The sequence below is a fragment of the Homo sapiens genome, chromosome 17 (genome assembly GCF_000001405.40).
Source record: "Homo sapiens chromosome 17, GRCh38.p14 Primary Assembly".
Classification (NCBI taxonomy): domain Eukaryota; kingdom Metazoa; phylum Chordata; class Mammalia; order Primates; family Hominidae; genus Homo; species Homo sapiens.
The window spans coordinates 16,902,361-16,921,088 of NC_000017.11; the positions used below are offsets into that span (position 1 = coordinate 16,902,361).

An 18,728-nucleotide genomic window follows, 5' to 3' on the forward strand; every position below is an offset into this window, starting at 1 on the left:
AGCCATATGCAGAAAACTGAAACTGGACCCCTTCCTTACACCTTATAAAAAAATTAACTCAAGATGGATTAAAGATTTAAATGTAAAACCCCAAACCACAAAAACCCTAGAAGAAAACCTAGGCAATACCATTCAGGACATAGGCATGGGCAAAGACTTCATGACTAAAACACCAAAAGCAATTTCCACAAAAGCCAAAATTGACAAATGGGATCCAATTAAACTAAAGAGCTTCTGCACGGCAAAAGAAACTACCATCAGAGTGAACAGGCAACCTACAGAATGGGAGAAAATTTTTGCAGTCCATTCATCTGACAAAGGTCTAATTTCCAGACTCTACAAGGAACTTAAACAAATTTACAAGACAAAACAATGCCGTCAAAAAGTGGGCAGAGGATATGAACAGACACTTCTCAAAAGAAGACATTTATGTGGTCAAAAAATATATGAGAAAAAGCTCAACATCACTGATCATTAGAGAAATGCACATCAGAACCACAGTGAGATACCATCTCACACCAGTCAGAATGACAATTATTAAAAAGTCAAGAAACAATAGATGCTGATGAGCCTGTGGAGAAATAGGAACGCTTTTACACTGTTGGTGGGAGTGTAAATTAGTTCAACCATTGTGGAAGACAGTGTGGTGATTCCTCAAGGTTCTAGAACCAGAAACACCATTTGACCCAGCAATCTCATTACTGGGTATATACCCAAAGGAATGTAAATCATTCTACTATAAAGACACATGTACACATATGTTTATTACAGCACTATTTACAACAGCAAAGACATAGAACTAACCCAAATGCCCATCAATGATAGACTGGATAAAGAAAATGTGGTACATATACACCATGGAATACTATGCAGCCATAAAAAAGGATGAGTTCATGTCCTTTGCAGGGACATGGATGAAGCTAGAAACCATCATCCTTGTTTGGGGGGTGAGATTTATTGGCTCTGTAAGCAGAACATGAACTTTTGCCCATTTATAAAATCAGATTGTCAGCTGGAAGCAGTGGTTCATACCTATAATCCCAGCATTTTGGGAAGCCGAGGTGGGCGGATAGCCTGAGGTCAGGAGTTCGAGACCAGGCTGGCCAACATGATGAACCCCTGTCTCTACTAAAAATACAAAAATTAGCCAGGTGTGGTGGTGGGCGCCTGTGATCCCACCTACTTGGGAGGCTGAGGCAGGAGAATCGCTTGAACCTGGGAGGTGGAGGTTGCAGTGAGCCGAGATTGTGCCACTGCACTCCAGCCTGGGCAACAGAGAGAGACTCTGTCTCACAAAAAAAAAAAAAAAAAAAAAAAAAAAAAAAAAAAAAAAATCAGATCGTCATTATCTTCCTTATTGCTTTTAAGAGTTCTTTATGTATTCTTGATATAAGTCCCTTGTCATTAATTGTGTGGCAAATACCTTCATCCAGTGTGCCTTAAATGTTCTTCTTTTGATGAACAAAGTTCTTAAGTCTAATTCATCAATCTTTTCTCTAACGGTTAATGCTTTTTGTATTCTGTGTAAGACATTGTTTATTCCAAGATCATGAAGATACTGTCGTATGTTTTCCTGCAGAAGCTTTATTGTTGTATCTTTCACACTAAATAGAAACCCTCTTTAAAATCACCAACTCCTACTGCATTCTTAAAATATTTTGCTAAACTTTTCGAAGATTCTGGCACCACAACACTCGCTTCCCAGCCTCAAACCTTTTGGGGAGGTGGGGACAGAGAAAGAAAGAAGCTGGCAGGGAAAACCCAGCCTCAGCCAAGACCTAGCCCAGATAGTAAATTAGCAGGGCTGGGAGTCTCCATCATATCAGCAGTCACATGTCTTAAAACCAGAATCTACCAAGATTATATATATATCTTGTATCTGCCACTGCCATTACCTTCTTTTCATTTTATGTCAAAAAAAGAAAAAGAATCCCAGCACTGAGGCAGGAGGATTGCTTGAGCCCAGGAGTTTAAGTCTGCAGTGAGCTGTGATAGCACCACTCCACTCCAGCCTGGGTGACAGAGGGAGACCCTGTCTGAAAAGAAGAAAAGAAAAGAAAACCTGTCGTGTTACTGACCAGTAATAGGGGCTCCCAAAGTATAAACTCACCTCAGACCCCTGTTTGTTCTTCCTGCTACCTGTCCATTCTGCCTCCGCCCCGTTCCGAGGCTGGACCATACCATGAAGGAAGGCCCCTTGGTTACAGCCTCCCCAGCCCGTCAGCCATGCTGCCAAGAATACTGGAAAGAATAAAAAGCTAGAGGGAGGCGGCTGCCTGCAGGAGGTTTAGCATAAAGGAAATAGGAATGGTAACAGGAAATTGAAGAAAACAGTTAAAAAGAGCATTCATTCAAGAATGACCCCACTGATGCCACCTGTGCTGTCCCCCACCTGACAGAAATGGACCGAGGCAGCTGCCAGAGTGGATATGCAAAGGCAATTCACGTGTTCATTAGTGCCCTTTTATGATGTAACCTAGTCATAATGAGATTGCGGGGAAGAGATAGAAAATAAGATGTTTCCAATCTTGATCATAAGAATAGTATTTCCTGCTGGCGTGATTGTGTGTGTGTGTGTGTGTGTGTGTGTGTGTGTGTGTGTGAATATTTTGGATTAGCTTTCAAAATATTTTACATTTGATGAAACCCAAAACTCATTTTGCCTGGAGTAATTTTTATTCATTGTTAAATCTCTGTAAAATTAGAAATATAAATATGTGTCTGGTTTATTTACTCTTCACAAAATATGGTGTCTAGACCTGTTTGTTTATGATGCCTCTTAGGCTCGTTCTCTCTGAGTTAGGAAGCCAAAAAAAAGTGGTGAAAGTCAGATGGTTCATAGTCTTTTTGAAAACCAGTAGCCATGTGCATTTTACTTAAAATGACTTTCTTTTTACCTCACCAAAGTACAGCATGATAGGTTATGTTCAATCCCTGTCGCTCTCCGTGTGTGTGTACATATGTATGTATTTTTAGATTGAGGGGGTACATGTGCAGGTTTGTTAGACTGCGATATTGTGTGATGCTGAGGTTTGGGGTACAGTTGATCCCATCACTCAAGTAGTGAGCATAGTATACGATGGTTAGCGTTTCAGGCCTTGTCCCCGACCCTGCCTCACCCCTTTCAGAGTCCCCAGTGTCTGTTGTTCCCGTCTTGTGTCTCTGTGTCTCTATGTTTAGCTCCCATTTATAAGTGAGAACATACAGTATTGGGTTTTTTGTTCCTGCCTTAGTTTGCTTAAGATAATGGTCTCCAGCTGCATCTGTCTTGCTGCCAAGGACATGGTTTCCTTCTTTTTTTATGGCTGTGTAGTATTTCATCATGTATATGTACCGTATTTTCTTTATCCAGTCTATCATTGATGGGTATTTAGGTTCATTCCATGTCTTTGCTATTGTGACTAGTATTGGAATGAACATATGGAGTGCACATGTCTTTTTGGTACAATTATTTGTTTTCTTTTGGGTACATATCCAATGAGATTGCTGGGTCAAATGGTAGCTCTGTTTGAAGATCTTTGGGAAATCTCCAAACTGCTTTCTACACTGGCTAAACTAATTTACATTTCCACCAACAGTGTATAAGTGCTCCCTTTTCTCTACAGTCTCATCAGCATCTGTTATTTGTTTGACTTTTTAGTAGCCATTCTGACTAATGTGAGAAGGCATCTGATTGTGGTTTTGATGTGCATTTCTCTGGTGATGAGTGATGATCAGCATTTTTTCATACGTTTGTTGGCCACTTGTATGTCTTCTTTTGAAAAATGTCTATTCATGTCCTTTGCCCATTTTTTAATGGGGTTATTTGTTTTTTGCTTGTTGATTTAAGTTTTTGCTATAGATTCTGGATATTAGATACATCGTTTGTGAATATTTCTCCCATTCTGTAAGTTGTCTATTTACTCTGTTGATAGTTTTCTTTGCTGTGCAGAAGCTCTTTAGTTTAATTAGATTCCACCTCTTTTGGTTGTTATTGCAATTGCTTTTGGGGACTTAACCAAAAATTCTTTGCCAAGGCCAATGTCGAGAAGGGTATTTCCTAGGTTTTCTTCTATAATTTTAATAGTTTGAGGTCTTGCATTTTTATTTTTTATTTTTTATTTTTTTTGAGATGGAGTCTCACTCTGTCCCCCAAGCTGGAGTGCAGTGGCGCGATCTCAGCTCACTGCAAGCTCCGGCTCCTGGGTTCACGCCATTCTCTTGCCTCAGCCTCCTGAGTAGCTGGGACTACAGGCGCCCGCCACCATGCCTGGCTAATTTTTTTTGTTTTTAGTAGAGACGGGGTTTCACTATGTTAGCCAGGATGGTTTCAATCTCCTGACCTCGTGATCTGCTCGCTTCGGCCTCCCAAAGGTCTTACGTTTAAATCTTTAATCCATCTTCAGTTAGTTTTTTTATGTGGTGAAAGGTAGGTGTCTAGTTTCATTCTTGTGCATATGGCTAACCAGTTATCTCAGTATCAATTTCTGAATAGGAAGTCCTTTCCCCATTGCTTGTTTTTGTTGAAGATCAGATAACTGTAGGTATGCAGCTTTATCTCAGTTCTCTATTCTATTCCAAAGATCTATGTGTCTGGGTTTTATACTAGCAACATGCTGTTGTGGTTTCTGTAGAGTTATAGTATAGTTTGAATTCCAGTAGTATGATGCCTCCAGCTTTTTTGTTCTTGCTTAGGACTGCTTTGGCTATTCAGGGTCCTTTTTAGTTCCATATGAATTTCAAAATAGTTTTTTCTAAATCTGTGAAGAGTAGTTTGATGGGAATAGCATTGAATCTGTAAAGTGCTTTGGGCAATATGGCCACTTTAATGATATTGATGCTTCCGATTCATGATCATGGAATATTTTTCCACTTATTTGTGTCATCTCTGGTTTCTTTCAGCCTCCTTCCATATATTAATCCAATAATGAACTTGTGTTCAGGGACCTGTTCAGCTCCAGTTAATATTGTAGGTGCTGGGGTTTCCACAGTGAATGAAACAGGCAACAGTCCCTGCTCTCATGGAACTTACATTGTCATTGGGTCTGGCAGTTAACTGAAATAGAAGGTAACATATGTACCATATTTGAAGGGGATATTACTGTGGAGAGAAATAAAGCAGGGAAGGAGGATTGGGAATGTTGGGTGAATGGTGCAGTATATATACAGTAGTCAGGGAGGTGACATTCGAGCACTTGCACCTCTTCCCTGAAGGGCTTTGGTGTCTGCATGAAGGTTTATTTCCCACCAAGGACTAGGTGTGGAAGGTCAAAGTAAGGAGGTCATCACTGCCGTGACTGTGCCAATAGGAGCTGAAGTGACACAATGGTGGTCGCCTCAGGTCAGCAGCACTGGGAAGTGAGCATCGCAGCCAGACCCACCTGCAGAGCCCTGGGCCAGCTGCCTGACATCTTGAGTGGCCCAGAATTGAGACCCAGTAAAAGCACATGAGTCTGCTCTCACTATCAAGTGAGGCCCACACTGAGCTCAAAATGGTGCTCCTAGGAGACCCTTCCACACATTCTGCTCAACTCAGACATCCTGGGGTCTTTTTGGAATAAGTCACTCCCAAGAAGGCCCTGCAAATTACTCTCAGTCCTCAAATTTCATGCTCCTGATGCGTGTTAGCTCTTTTCCAAGCCAAGGGCAGCCCTGACCCATGGAACCCCTATACCTCCTTTTCTTTCATCTAAGAGTCTACTCTGAGCTCCTGGTTTTGTGTTACGATGGGGAAATCTCCATCTCTAATGTACTTTCCAGTAAGAATTCTGGAGGGACAGGAAGCCAAGAGGGTGAATGTGACAGATAGAATTCTAAGGATAATCTCCATGACTCTCCCCAGAATAATGTCCTTCCCTTTATATGACACAGGGAGGTGGTCTGGATGTGCCCCACCTGATCACAGAGCCCTGTAAAAGCCAAGAGGTGTAAAGCATGAGAAGGACTCTGAATGTTCTTGGTGGCTTGAAGAGGGAGGGGCACATGAGAAGGAGCTGAGAAGGGCCCGGGCCCCTGGCTGACAGTCACCAATGCTTTAGTGCTAGAAAGTCCCTAGCCATGACCAGAAATTGTCATGTGGGTGCTCTGCAGTTCTGAGGTTGACACCTGCAAATGTGGTGCCACCAGGTCCTTTGTCTCCGTCTCTGTCCTGATGCCCTCAGACCTCAGCCAGGCCAAGGATGCTGTTTGCTTTGCCTCTGCCTTCCTTCAGCCGGGGGATCTTGGCCTGGAAGTCACTCTGATGAATGTGTGGAATTCAGCTCTAAGTCTCTCCTGCATCCTCTGTCACCTCCCAAGAAGCATGATGAGGCACAGCCACCCCACACCTTCATGGGTGGCACCTTGGCTGTGGTCCTTGGGTCCTGCCATGCCATGGACCCTTGGACACTGGTGAATCAGGCAAGGGCATGGGTAGAGAGTCCCTGCATCTCACCTGGATCTCAAAAGCTGGAATCCGTAACCCTTAGCAAGTTGTGATGGGACGAGTTTAAGAGTTTTAAAGGCTGCTGTTTTCATGTTTGAAACTACAATATTAGAGCAGTATTGTAGTATTAGAGTCAGCAGCTCTGTGAGGTGGTGAGAACCCCAGCCCTGGAGGTGTGCAACCAGGAGGGGAGGTGGGGCACAACAAGAGCATCCTGTAGTGACTGTAGGCTTGCTTGTTTCTACAGACAGAAAGTTCCTAGCAGTGGGATTTGTTTGTTACCTCTTTCTTAGAAATCCACCTGCCAGAGCCCAGCTGTTGTTTTGCTACTGTTCATTGACACAAGCAATGAAATTTAAAAGTTACAAATAGCACTAAAGGCCCCTTTGACGGTCACCCCCAGTTCTGTCCCACCCAGTGGTAGCCAGTGTCATCATGCATGTCCTTGCAGGCTTCTTATGCTTCACAGTCACGTGTGCATGATCACGAACGACACAGCACTGTAGTGTATGTGTGTGCGAGTGTGTGTGTGAGTGTGTGTGTGTATGTGTGATGTTTGGTTTATCATACTGAGGCAGGAGAATAGGGTCTGGAGGCAGAGAACTTAAAGCCAACTCATGCTGAATTCCTAAAGGTGAATCAAGGGAAACCACCAAGGTCTGGGGGCAGGGAACCTGGGGTCAATTCATGCTGACTCCCTAAAGAGAGAACAGCTGGATCTGGGGGCAAGGAACCTAAGGCCAATTAATGCGACCTTCCTAAAGCTACCACCCCCCCACACAAACCATTCTCCCCACACCCAAGTGGCAAAGGATCAAAGGCTCCTCTCCTATAGCCCTCCCCTTCCACCACGTCTCAGATGGAAAGGGAGAGTGCCCTGGATTGGCCAGGGCCAAGCACGAGCCATCCCTTCCTCAGCATAGGGCACCAGTTTGCCCCAGCCTTTAGTTAGCCACGACCAAATCCTTCATCCAGGTAAGGGTTAGCCTATAGGGTCCTCAAAAGGAGTACTTAAAACCCAGAAAACTTTGTAACCAGGCCCTTGAGCCCATTGCTCGGGCCCACTCCCACCCTGTGGAGTGCTTTCTGGCTTTAATAAATCCCTGCTTTCCTGCTTCCTTCCTGTGTTTAATTTCTTTGTTACTTTGTGTGTTTCGTTCAATTCTTTGTTCAAAACGGCAAGGACCTGGACAACTCACGCTCCCTTCCTTCCAGTAACAGTACTGTAAGACTCACGCTATAAACTACTTTTATTCACTCAATATCTGTCCCGAGAGCTTCCACATCTGTCTCACGCTCTTAATTGTAGCATAGATTCCTGGCTCTGCCCCGTGCACCCTGCTTATTCAGGCATCCTCTGCTGCATGAACATTTACATTGTTTCCTGTTTCTCGCTGTCATCAGGAGGCTCATGGAGGAGGAGAATTTCTGGGGGGTGGGTTAGGTGTGTGTTGTACATTTAACTGACCCTGGCTGGTTACTCTCCAGAACGCTGCTGCCAGCTCCCTCCCTCCAGTGGGCCCTGAGTTCATGCTTCTGTAGATCACCCCCCTGCCCTTGATGTTACCAACTTTAAAACTTTGCAACCTGATGGCTGAAAGTTAGTTTTCCATTGTTCAGTTGTGTTTTTCTGATTTTTGGGAGACTGGACATTTCCTGTGTTTGCTGACCATCTGCTTCTCCTCTCCTGCTCTGTGCACCATCACCCTGCTCCAGCTGCTTCCTGGAGCCTCCCTCCTTCCTCTCCACCTGCTCACATCCTCCTCGTCCTTCAGTTTCTTCCCAAGGGCCCATGGACTTTCTTTGGCTTTTACGTTCCTCTCACTCCGCCTTTGGCTGTTGCTGGGCTTCCCATCCCCTGGGAAGTTTCAGAGGATCGGGAAGACACAGGAGTGCAGTCGCCATGCGGTGCAATACGGGCCATAGTATTCATCCTCCACGGCCTTTATTGAGGACTTACTGTGTACCAAGAACCTGCTCTAAGAACGTAACTGTGCTCCCTCACTTCATGCTCATAACCACCTGTGAGATGGGCAATGTTCTCATCCCCTTTTATGCAGAGGGACAGAGAGGAGTAGAGGCACAGAGGAGTTCCATAAATTGTCACCAAGGCCTTCCACTGGTGTGCGGCAGGGTCAAGATTGAAACCCAGGCTGTCCAGGCCTAGGGTTCAGCCTTTCCAGTGCTCTGCTAGGTGTTGGACAGGGCCAACGAGACACAGAGAAAGAGCATCACCTGACTTGGGCTGGGTCAGAGATGGCTTCCTGGAGGAGGTGACAGCTCAACAGAGCCTTGAAGGAGGATCAGGAGGAGCTGACTAGGCAATGAATAGAATAAGTATGTCCAGGAAAAGGGAAGGGCCTTCTCAGTGATGCTGGGAGGCTGGAGAGCTGTCCTGGCCCAGGATGTGTGCCCGGGGGGCAGGAGATCAGGCCCAAGGGGTGGCCAGGGCCGGATCTAGAAGACTTGGGCCATCCCACAGTCGATACCTGATCCCAAGGCCAGGCAGGCCTTCCACTGCTCTGTGCGCACTGGTGGGCAGTGCCCCCATGGGACCCCAGGAGCCTGGACCCCAGCCACTCACCTGGGCTCCTGAGACCCAAGGCGCAGGCACGGGGGTGGGAGGGGGTGCGGCTAATTTACATCTTAACAGGTCAAGGGGAAAACTGCACGTCTCACTGTGCAGATGGAACCCACCGCTGGATGGACCTAGGACACAGCCTGGATTCACAGCCTTTCCCTGCTGCTGTGTCCCCACACCCCAGGCAGGGAGCGAATCTGTTCTCTGATCTTCTTTTGTGTCCAGTTAACCATGTCCCCAGATACGGACCTGATCAGGAGCTCAAGTACATAAACTTTCTGAGAATTGAACAAAGCGGTGACCAAAGGCTGCCTCGACACAGGATGATGTTGCTTAGAGCCCTGGGACCACGAGTCAGGACCAGCCGGAATTGTGACCTGGTGCTGGCAGAGGCTGTCTGGTGCTGCAGAATCAGCCCTGGCCAGTTGTTCCCTGACGCACACTGGGACTTTGGCTGAGACACTTCCCGTCAGCTGTAAAACAAAGAAGACTGTCTTTCCTATTAGATATGCCTCAAAAACACAAAAGTGCTTTGAACCTGCCAGACTTCCTCTTGAAGAGTCACAAGCACACAAGAGAAGGCTCTGAGAAAGAAGGCCTGCAGTTTAAAAAAAAATACTTTGGCTTTCTTTTTTTTTTTTTTTTTTTTTTTTGAGACGGAGTTTTGTTCTTGTTGCCCAGGCTGGAGTGCAGTGGGCGATCTTGGTTCACTGCAACCTCCACCTCTCGGGTTCAAGTGATTCTCGTGCCTCAGCCTCCCAAGTAGCTGGGATTACAGACATGCGCCACCACGCCTGGCTAATTTTGTGTTTTTAGTAGAGATGGGGTTTCACCATGTTGGTCAGGCTGGTCTCGAACTCCTGACCTCAGGTGATCCGCCTGCCTTAGCATCCCAAAGTGCTCGGATTACAGGCGTGAGCCACCACACCTGGCCGCTTTGACTTTGTTTAACCCAGCATTTTTCAAGCTAATTTGACCACAGAGATCTAGCAGCATCTGTTAACCGGACAAGCACATGAGGCACAAGCAGAGGGCTCTAAGAATCACCCTCCTTGGCTGCTGTCTGGTCTCAGGGTGCAGGGGAGAGTCTCTCCTGCATCCAAGTCTGCGCTGCCCAGAGTGTGAGCCCAGCCCACAGAGCTAGTGCCTGAGAGGAGTTTTTCCTTTCTTTTTCTGTCAACGGAGCTTCTCTCTCAAGCTTCTACTCCGCCTGGCTGTGTCAGTCTTAGGGTTTTCCTGTTTCTCTTTGGGGCTTCATGGGGGTTCTGAGATTTTATGTGGGTTGAGATGGTGGTAGAAGAGGAAGGGCATGGACAGCTCCTCTGGTCAGTTGGGCAACTGCCATCTGGTCAATAGGGCACTGTCTCCCCTCAGGTCCAGTGGCTTTGGTGGCTTCCAGGCCATGAATGGGTCCTGGAAACTCCCCAAAGCTGCCCTTGTCCAATAGAACCCGCTACCGGCCTTCCACTCAGCCACTGCTTCACACTATGGCAGGGTGTGCGGTAGCTCCCTCCCTCTCCACTCCCCAGCCCAAACTAGGGGAGAATCAGGGGTCTGTCTTTAATTTTTTTTGTATCCTTTGATTTCAGACTTGCTTTTGAATAGATAGTATTAGTCAGGTGGCTTGAAACCCAGAAAGTATTGAAAGATATGATAGAAAGTCTTTTTTTCCTTCTTTTTCTCCAGCTGCCCAGTTCTTGCCTCCCCTTGAGTAAATAGTTTTATCGAAATATTATTCCCGTGCCATAAAGTTCACCTGTTTAAAGTGTACGGGTCTATGTTTTTTAGTATTAATGTATTTACAGAGTTATGCAACTGTCACCATAATCTAATTTTAGAACATTTTGATCACCCTAAAAGGAAACTTTGTCAGTCTTCATTCCTCCCTAGCCACAGGCTACTACTAATCTATTCTCTGTCTTTATAGATTTACCTGTTTTGGACATTTCACATGAATGGAATCACACAGTACATGGTGTATTGTGACTAGTTTCTTCAACTTGGCATAATGTTTCCAAAGGTCATCTGTGTTATAGCATGTATCAGTAGTTCATTTTTATGGCCAAATAATATTCCATTTTATGGATATATCATATGTGGTTTATCCATTCATCAGTCGGTGGACATTTGGGTTGTTTCTGCATTTTGGCCATTATTATTAATAATGGTTCCATGAAGGCCAGGTGCAGTGGCTCACACCTGTAATCCCAGCACTTTGGGAGACTGAGGCAGGCAAGTCACTTGAGGCCAGGAGTTCAAGACCAGCCTGGCCAACATGCAAAACCCTTTCTCTACTAAACACACAAAAATTAGCTGGGTGTGGTGACACATGCCTGCATTACAGGCATGCACCACCACGCCTGACTGATTTTTGTATTTTTGTAGAGACAGGGTTCACCATGTTGCCCTGGCTGGTCTCAAACTCCTGGGCTCCAGCTGTCCACTTTCCTTGGCCTCCCAAAGTGCTGGGATTACAGGCGTGAACCACCATTGCCAGCTGATAAACCACATTTATGAAAAACCCACAGCCAACCTCATATTCACTGGTGAAAGACTGAAAACATTTCACCTAACATAGGAGGAACAGGTCAGAACGCCCCCTTTTACCACTTATGTTTAACATAGTATTGGAATTCTAGCCAGATAAATTAGGCAAGCAAAATAAATAAAAAGCATCATGTTGGAAGGGAAGAAATAAAACTATTTATTCACAGATGAAATTACCTTACATAAAGACAGTTCTTAAAATCCAGTAGAAAGCTACTAGCACTAATAAAGGAATTCAGCAAAGTTGCAGAGTACAAGGTCAACACGCAGAAATCAGTTTTATTTCTATACACTAGCAATGAAAATTAAAACAAACCCACCTACAATAGAAACCGAAAGGATAAAATTCTTCAGAATAAATTTAAGGTGAGAGACTTGTGCACAAAAACTATGAAACATTGCTGAACAGAATTAAAGGCCTATATGCCTGTAAATACAGCTCAGGTTTATGGATTGGAAGACCTAATATTGTTAAAATGCTATATACCACCCAAAGCAAAATACAGACTCAATGCAATCTCTATCAAAATCTCAATGGCCTTTTTTGTAGAAATAGAAAAGCTGATCCCCAAATTGGTGTGGAATTCCAAGGGATCCCAAAGAAACAAAACAATCTTGAAAAAGAGGGACAAAAAAGCTGGGCATAATGGTTCATGCCTGTAATACCAGGACTTTGGGAGGCTGAGATTGGAGGATTACTTGAGGCCAGGAGTCTGAGACCAGAAGAGCAACATAACGAGACTGGTTTCTACAAAAAACTAAATTAAAAAAAAAAAATAGCCAGGTGTGTGTCATGTGCCTGTAGTCCCAACTAATTGGGAGGCGGAGATGGGAGGATGGTTTGACCCCAGGACTTTGAGGCTGTAGTGAGCTATGATTGCACCACTGCACTCCAGTCTTGGTGAGACTGAGACCCTGTCTCAAAAATTAAAAAATGAGTAAAGTAAGAAAAAAGAAGAAAAAGGAGGACAAAGTTGAAAGACTCACACTTCCTGGTTTCAAAACTTATTACAAGCTACAGTAATGAAAAGAGTGTGGTCATGGCATAAGGAGAGAGATGGAAATCAATGGAACAGATTGAGAGTCCAGAAATAAACCCTCACATATAAGGTTCGTTGATTTTTGACAAAAGTGCCAAGATCATTCAATGGGGAAGAGCCAGGCTCTTGAAAAATGGTACCGAGGCCAGGCAGACCTGTAGTCCCAGCACTTTGGGAGGCCAAGGCGGGTGGATCGCCTGAGGTCAGAAGCTCAAGACCAGCCTAGCCAACATGGTGAAACCCTGTCTTTATTAAAAATACAAAAAAGCAGCTGGGCATGGTGGCGGGCCCCTGTAATCCCAGCTACTCTGGAGGCTGAGGCAGGAGAATCACTGGAACCCAGGAGGTGGAGGTTGCAGTGAGCCAAGATTGTGCCATTGCACTCCAGCCTGGGCAACAAGAGTGAAACTCCATCTCAAAATAAATAAATAAAAATAAAATGGTAATTTTGATGTGAATTTTACCTCAAAAATATTTTTTAAGAGCTGCATAGGGAGACTTTGTCTGTAGAAAAAAATCAAAAACTTAGCCAGACATGGTGGCCTGCGCCTGTGGTCCCAGCTACTCGGGAGGCTGAGGTGAGAGGATTACTTCAGCTGAGGAGGTAGAGGCTGCAGTGAGCAAAGATCATGCCACTGCACTCCAACCTTGGTGACAGAACAAGATCCTGTCTCCAAAAAAAAAAATCAGAGCTGCCCTTGCCCTTGTGCTAATGGGCGCTCCCTCTATTACATCACCTACCTGGCTCCCAGGGCCACCTGAGTTTGAGACCCCTGCTCTAGATTCATGTTACCAAATCCCCTTCCGGAGAACGTGTAGTCAGTGACACCACCACTCAGGATCCAGGAGAGAAACATTTTCACCAAACCCTGCTCAACACATTGACTTCCTCATTTCAGTGGGTAGGAGAGTGAGGTTCAGAGATGTTAAGTGACTTGCTCCAGGTCACACAGCCAGTCAGGACAGCGTCAGGACTGGAACCCAGTTCATCTCATCCTGAATCCAGTGACCTGTCCTTGTGTCCCACAGGTTTCCTACAGCCGGGGAAGCCAAAGCATAGGGCTGGGAGCCCCATTCGAGGGCTCTGACGCTCAGAAACTCATCACAGCCCGCTCTGAGGCCCTCAGCTGGCACAGTTCCCAGCCAGGTGAGAGAAGAGGAGGAGTTCAGGCCCCTGAGTCTGGGAGCAGTTGCCGGTGGCCGGCTTCCTCCAGCATTGGTGGAGGGGGAGCCACCAGGGGGCATCTGCGTGCATAAGAGTCTTGGTCTTGGCTGCCCAGTTAGTCATGGGGCTGCCCAAGTATCTGCTCCTCCCCAAGTATCTGCTCCTCTTTTGCCAGGAGTGGAAGGAGCAGCTCAAAACCAGGCTGTGGCAGGTGCCACAGGAGATGGGCTTCCCTGAGATTAGCACCTCCCTTTCCACCAGGAGCCGAGAATACTCAGGTTGCTCATTTGAACCCATATGGTGAAGTTTCCCTCTCTCTCTCTGGATATTTATTCTGTAGTTTCGGTTTTCAAAAACAAAACCCTTCTGTAGCATGGAGTTCTCAGACTGGGTGCTGTCTCCAGTGTGTTCCTTGTGAAACAAATGGATTTTGCTTGTGGTTGTGCGAAGTCTCATAATTACCCCAGGGAGGAGTGGTCCAGTTGTGAAAGGGGATGGAGTAGCACATCAGCTTTGTGTTGGGGCTGTCCTGTGCGTCCTAGGATGGTTGGCAGCATCCCTGGACTCTACTCATTAGATGCCAGTAGATCACCTCCCTATCCCCCCCATTGTCATTGAGACAACCCCAGTGTCCCCAGGCACGGCTACCTGTCTCTTGATGGTGAGGGCAGAAGCATCTTGGTTGAGCGCTGCTGGTGTAGAGACAGCCTGGATGAGAAGAGGAGAGAGATGAGAGGCTAAAGCCTCTTTGAGGTGAAGGTGCAGACTCTGGAGCCCAGCACGTGTCGTCAGCTGGGCCTCAGTGTTTCCCTGGACAGTGTTGCCCTTGGGTTTCCAGCCGTAAACAGCAGGAATAAATCCCACGAGAGGCTCATGCCTCATTCTCCGTTTGCTTCTTTTTTCCTTTTCTTTCCTTTCCTTTTTCCTTTTCCTTTCCTCTTTGTTTTTTTGAGACCGGGTCTTGCTCTGTCACCCGGACTGCAGTGCAGTGGTGCAGTTGTAGCTCAGTGCAGTGGTGCAGTTGTAGCTCACTGCAGCCTTGACTTCCTGGGCTCGAGGAATCCTCCCACCCCAGCCTCCTGAGTAGTTGGGACCACAGGCACGCACCACCATGCCCAGCTGATTGTATTGTTTTGGGGTTTTTTTTTTAGTATGTTTTGTAGAGATGGGGTCTCGCTGTGTTGCCCAGGTTGGTCTTGAACTCCTGGCCTCAAATAATCCTCCCACCTTGGCCTCCCAAAATGCTGGGATACAGGCATGAGCCACCATGCCTGGCCTAAATTTCTAGTTTTGACAGATGTGCCAGGGTTATGCAGAATGTCATTCTTTTTTTTTTTTTTTGAGACGGAGTCTCGCTCTGTTGTCCAAGCTGGAGTGCAGTGGCGTGATCTCAGCTCACTGCAAGCTCCGCCTGCCAGGTTCCTGCCATTCTGCTGCCTCAACCTCCTGAGTAGCTGGGACTACAGGCGCCCGCCACCCCGCCCGGCTAATTTTTTGTATTTTTAGTAGAGACGGGGTTTGCAAAATGTCATTCTTAAGGAGAGTTGGATGGAAAGCACAGGCGAACTCTATCGTATCTGTTTAATTTTTCTGTAAATTTAAAGTCATTCAAAGAGTAAAAGTAAAAGTTCATTTTAAAAAACTGAGGAGGTTATCATTCCCTCTGTGTAAAAAGCACAGGAGGCTGGCCTACAGAGTCAGGCCGTGGTTGCAGGGGCAGTGCTGGGAGGGCCTGGGCATGTTCTGCTTCATGATCTGGGGGCTGGCGAGTTCCATCTGTAAGTCTTTGGAGCTGTGCACTCACAGCAGATGTAAGTCTTCATCTTACATCTGTAAGATGTAAGTTATATCATAATAACTTTTTGAAAGTTTAATTCATATAACAAGGTCAGGAAATGTCCATTTGGGCTGTGGCACCTCAGATGCTTATCCAGCCATGAGCCTTGGCCCGTACGCTTCTAGAAGCATCCACTCCCACATAGCATTTTCCAGACCCAGGGCACCTGGGGAACAAGGAGCAGGATTGGGGAGATTTGAAGTTTCAAGTGGGGAGGTCAAGAAGAGTCAATGAGAAGGGGCCAATTGAGCAAGGAGCTGCAGAAGGCGTGGAGGGCCCTGAGAACATTGCAAGTGGATGGCACAGAGCCAGGCCCTGAGGTGGGAGCCTGGCCAGTTGTGGGGACAGCAAAGAAGTCAATGAGAGCGGGAAAAAATGGGGTAAGGGAGATGGGTGGGAGGAGGTCAAGATTATGGGGGGTTGGGTGCTTTTCGAGGTCCTTGGCTTTGCCACAGTAGGGTGGGTGCTGTAGGGAAGGGTTTTGAGGGGAAGGGGCATGATCTGACTCAGGGTTCACAGGGTGCCTCCCTCCAGCTGCAGTGCTGAGAGCAGCTACGGGGGCAACCACTGGGAAATTGGGAGACCCATTAGAATTGAATTGCAATGACCCCAGGGAGAGATGAGAGTGGCTTGAAGCAGGCATGAAGGTGGTGAGAAGTGGTCAGATGCCTCTGCGGAGTGAAAGGGTAAACATCATAAAAGTTCTATTGTTTGGCCTGGTCAGATGCCTCTGCAGAGTGAAAGGGTAAACACCATAAAAGTTCTATCATCTGGCTGTCTGGCCGGGGTGGTGGCTCACCTGTAATCCCAGCATTTTGGGAGGTCGAGGTGGGCGGATCGCCTGAGGTCAGAAGTTTGAGACCAGCCTGGCCAACATGGTGAAACCCTGTCTCTACTAAAAAAAAAAAAAAAAAAAAAAAAAAAAATTTGCTGGGCGCGGTGGCTCACGCCTGTAATCCCAGCACTTTGGAAGGTCGAGGCGGGTGGATCACGAGGTCAGGAAATCAAGACCATCCTGGCTAACATGGTGAAACTCCATCTCTACTAAAAATACAAAAAAAATTAGCCAGGCGTGGTGGTGGGTGCCTGTAGTCCCAGGTACCCAGGAGGCTGAGGCAGGAGAATGGCGTGAACCCGGGAGGTGGAGCTTGCAGTGAGCCGAGATCGCACCATTGCACTCCAGCGTGGGCGACAGAGCGAGACTCCATCTCAAAAAAAAAAAAAAGTCCTATCATCCCATAAAACCACTCACTCCTCATTGCAGCCCTAGACTTGCTCTACCCACACACTTCAAAGGGGGGCTCCGCGCTCTTCACCCTCCTGCACCCGCGCCCATCCAGGAGTCAGAGCAGGATGTTTTCCTCTAAGGGAAAGCAAAGCGAGTGTGCACTCGTGCAGAATAGAGTTTGGGCCACTCATTTGATTTCTTTGTAGATTTTATTCTCGTCTTTTTTCCAATAAGAAACACCATAACTAATGACTTCAGAGAGGCTCTTCCTAGTGTATTTTTAAGAGGAGAGGCAGTATTAATAGTTACAGCCGCATGGCAGGTGGCCCTCTGTGACCCGTCACAGTGAACAGCAAGCTCTTGGGGCCCTCTTAGGTTTGCGCTTTGAGGCTCCTGCCTGCCCTGGTGGTTCTAGAGTCCCCCAGATTACCAGGCCTGAGGCTTCTGAACATCCCCTAAACACAGCCTAACTTCCCAACAGTCTCCTTCCCCTTGGGGAGTCTCCAAAAGGAGATTTTTTTTTTTTTTTTGGAGACAGAATCTCGCTCTGTCACCCAGGCTGGAGTGCAGTGGTGTGATCTCAGCTCACCCAAGTAGCTGGGAATACAGGAGTATGCTACCATGCCCAGCTAATTTTTTAGTAAAAACAGGGTTTCACCATGTTGGCCAGGCTGGCCTCAAACTCCTGGCCTCAAGTGACCCACCCACATCGGCCTCCCGAAGAGCTAGGATTACAGGCATGAGCCATCCCTGCCCAGCCTGATGGTTGCTCTGAAATAGCCAGAGAGCTGGGATGCGGTATAGAGCAGTTTGTTTCCCAGTGCTGCCTTGAGCCTGGGTTAGATCTTCTCTTCATGCCAATCCAGGCCTTCTGTTTTCAAAGTTTCTCTTGGAGTCTCATGGGACCTTGGCTTCTCCTGCAGCATAGTCCCACAGCCTGGCCCCAGGGTGGCGCCCTCCTGAGGTACTCAGAGGTGTGTGGCGTTGATAGTTGGTGGGGGCAGCTTTTAGGGCTGGAGGTGGTAGGCTAGGACTGAATGACTTCAGCCGAGATTGGCTCCTCCCCACTCCTCACGGTGGAGATCCCAGGGTGAGGGACCTGCAGCTGAAGTCCGTCCATACAGGCAGAGAGACTGAGGGTGATTCTCAGATGAGTGTGGGCTGGTCACTTGCAGGCCTTCCTAAAGCCCGTGCTGGCGTTTCTGATTCAGCAGGTCTGTGGGGGGCAGGGGCTTCTTCACTCTTAATCAGTTCCCAGCCGATGCTGATGAGGCTGGTTCAAATGCCGTGCTCTGAGAACACCTATACTTAGGTAACAGGGCACCTGGCTGCCTGTAGGTTACCTGTGGCCTCTGGGCTGGCACTGCTAGTTGTAGGCGATATCCTACCGGTTAATTTTAACTTGGAGTCTTTTAGAGGACAAAGACCTGTTTTGGTGGTTCACTGAGTTGAACAGCCTGGTGGGCTGGCCTTCCCAGCGCTTCTCATCAGTCTCAGGGCTGCGCCGCCAGGCCCTAGGTGTGCATTGTTCTCTCTGCTACCGGTGGAGTCTCCACCACCATAGACCTTTTCTAGGACATCAGCTTGGATCTCCCCAGCTCTTCCACTCTGTCTGGCCCCTGAGCCCAGGGAGTGTGGGCAGCATGGTAAATGGGGACAGCCACGTGTGGGGAACCGCCATGCTCACGGACTGCTTGTGACAGTGGGAAGCCTTCCTCACCCACATGGCAGGGGCATGTCTCCTGGCCAGAAGGCTGTGCTCCATCAGAACCAAATCAGGGCTCTTTCACACACCCAGGACTGAGCAAAGATATGGCATTAGCCTGGGTTGGCTGCGGTCTCTGGTGCTAGTTTGTCTTTTGTTTTGGCCAGATGACTCGATATTTCTGTCCCTCAGCTTTGCACTATGCTGGGTATTGGTGTCAGC

General features: G+C 47.1%; 2 annotated features.

Annotated features, from left to right (window-relative positions):
- Positions 8,219-8,388: an enhancer, noted in NCBI's record as "experimental_47083 CRE fragment used in MPRA reporter constructs". NCBI's record gives its function as "activates a minimal promoter by MPRAs in K562 erythroleukemia cells, with activity observed for the non-introgressed 17:16813978 variant allele {active_cell/tissue: K562}" and the evidence as "EXISTENCE:reporter gene assay evidence [ECO:0000049][PMID:34662402]".
- Positions 18,279-18,448: an enhancer, noted in NCBI's record as "experimental_47087 CRE fragment used in MPRA reporter constructs". NCBI's record gives its function as "activates a minimal promoter by MPRAs in K562 erythroleukemia cells, with activity observed for both the introgressed and non-introgressed 17:16824038 variant alleles {active_cell/tissue: K562}" and the evidence as "EXISTENCE:reporter gene assay evidence [ECO:0000049][PMID:34662402]".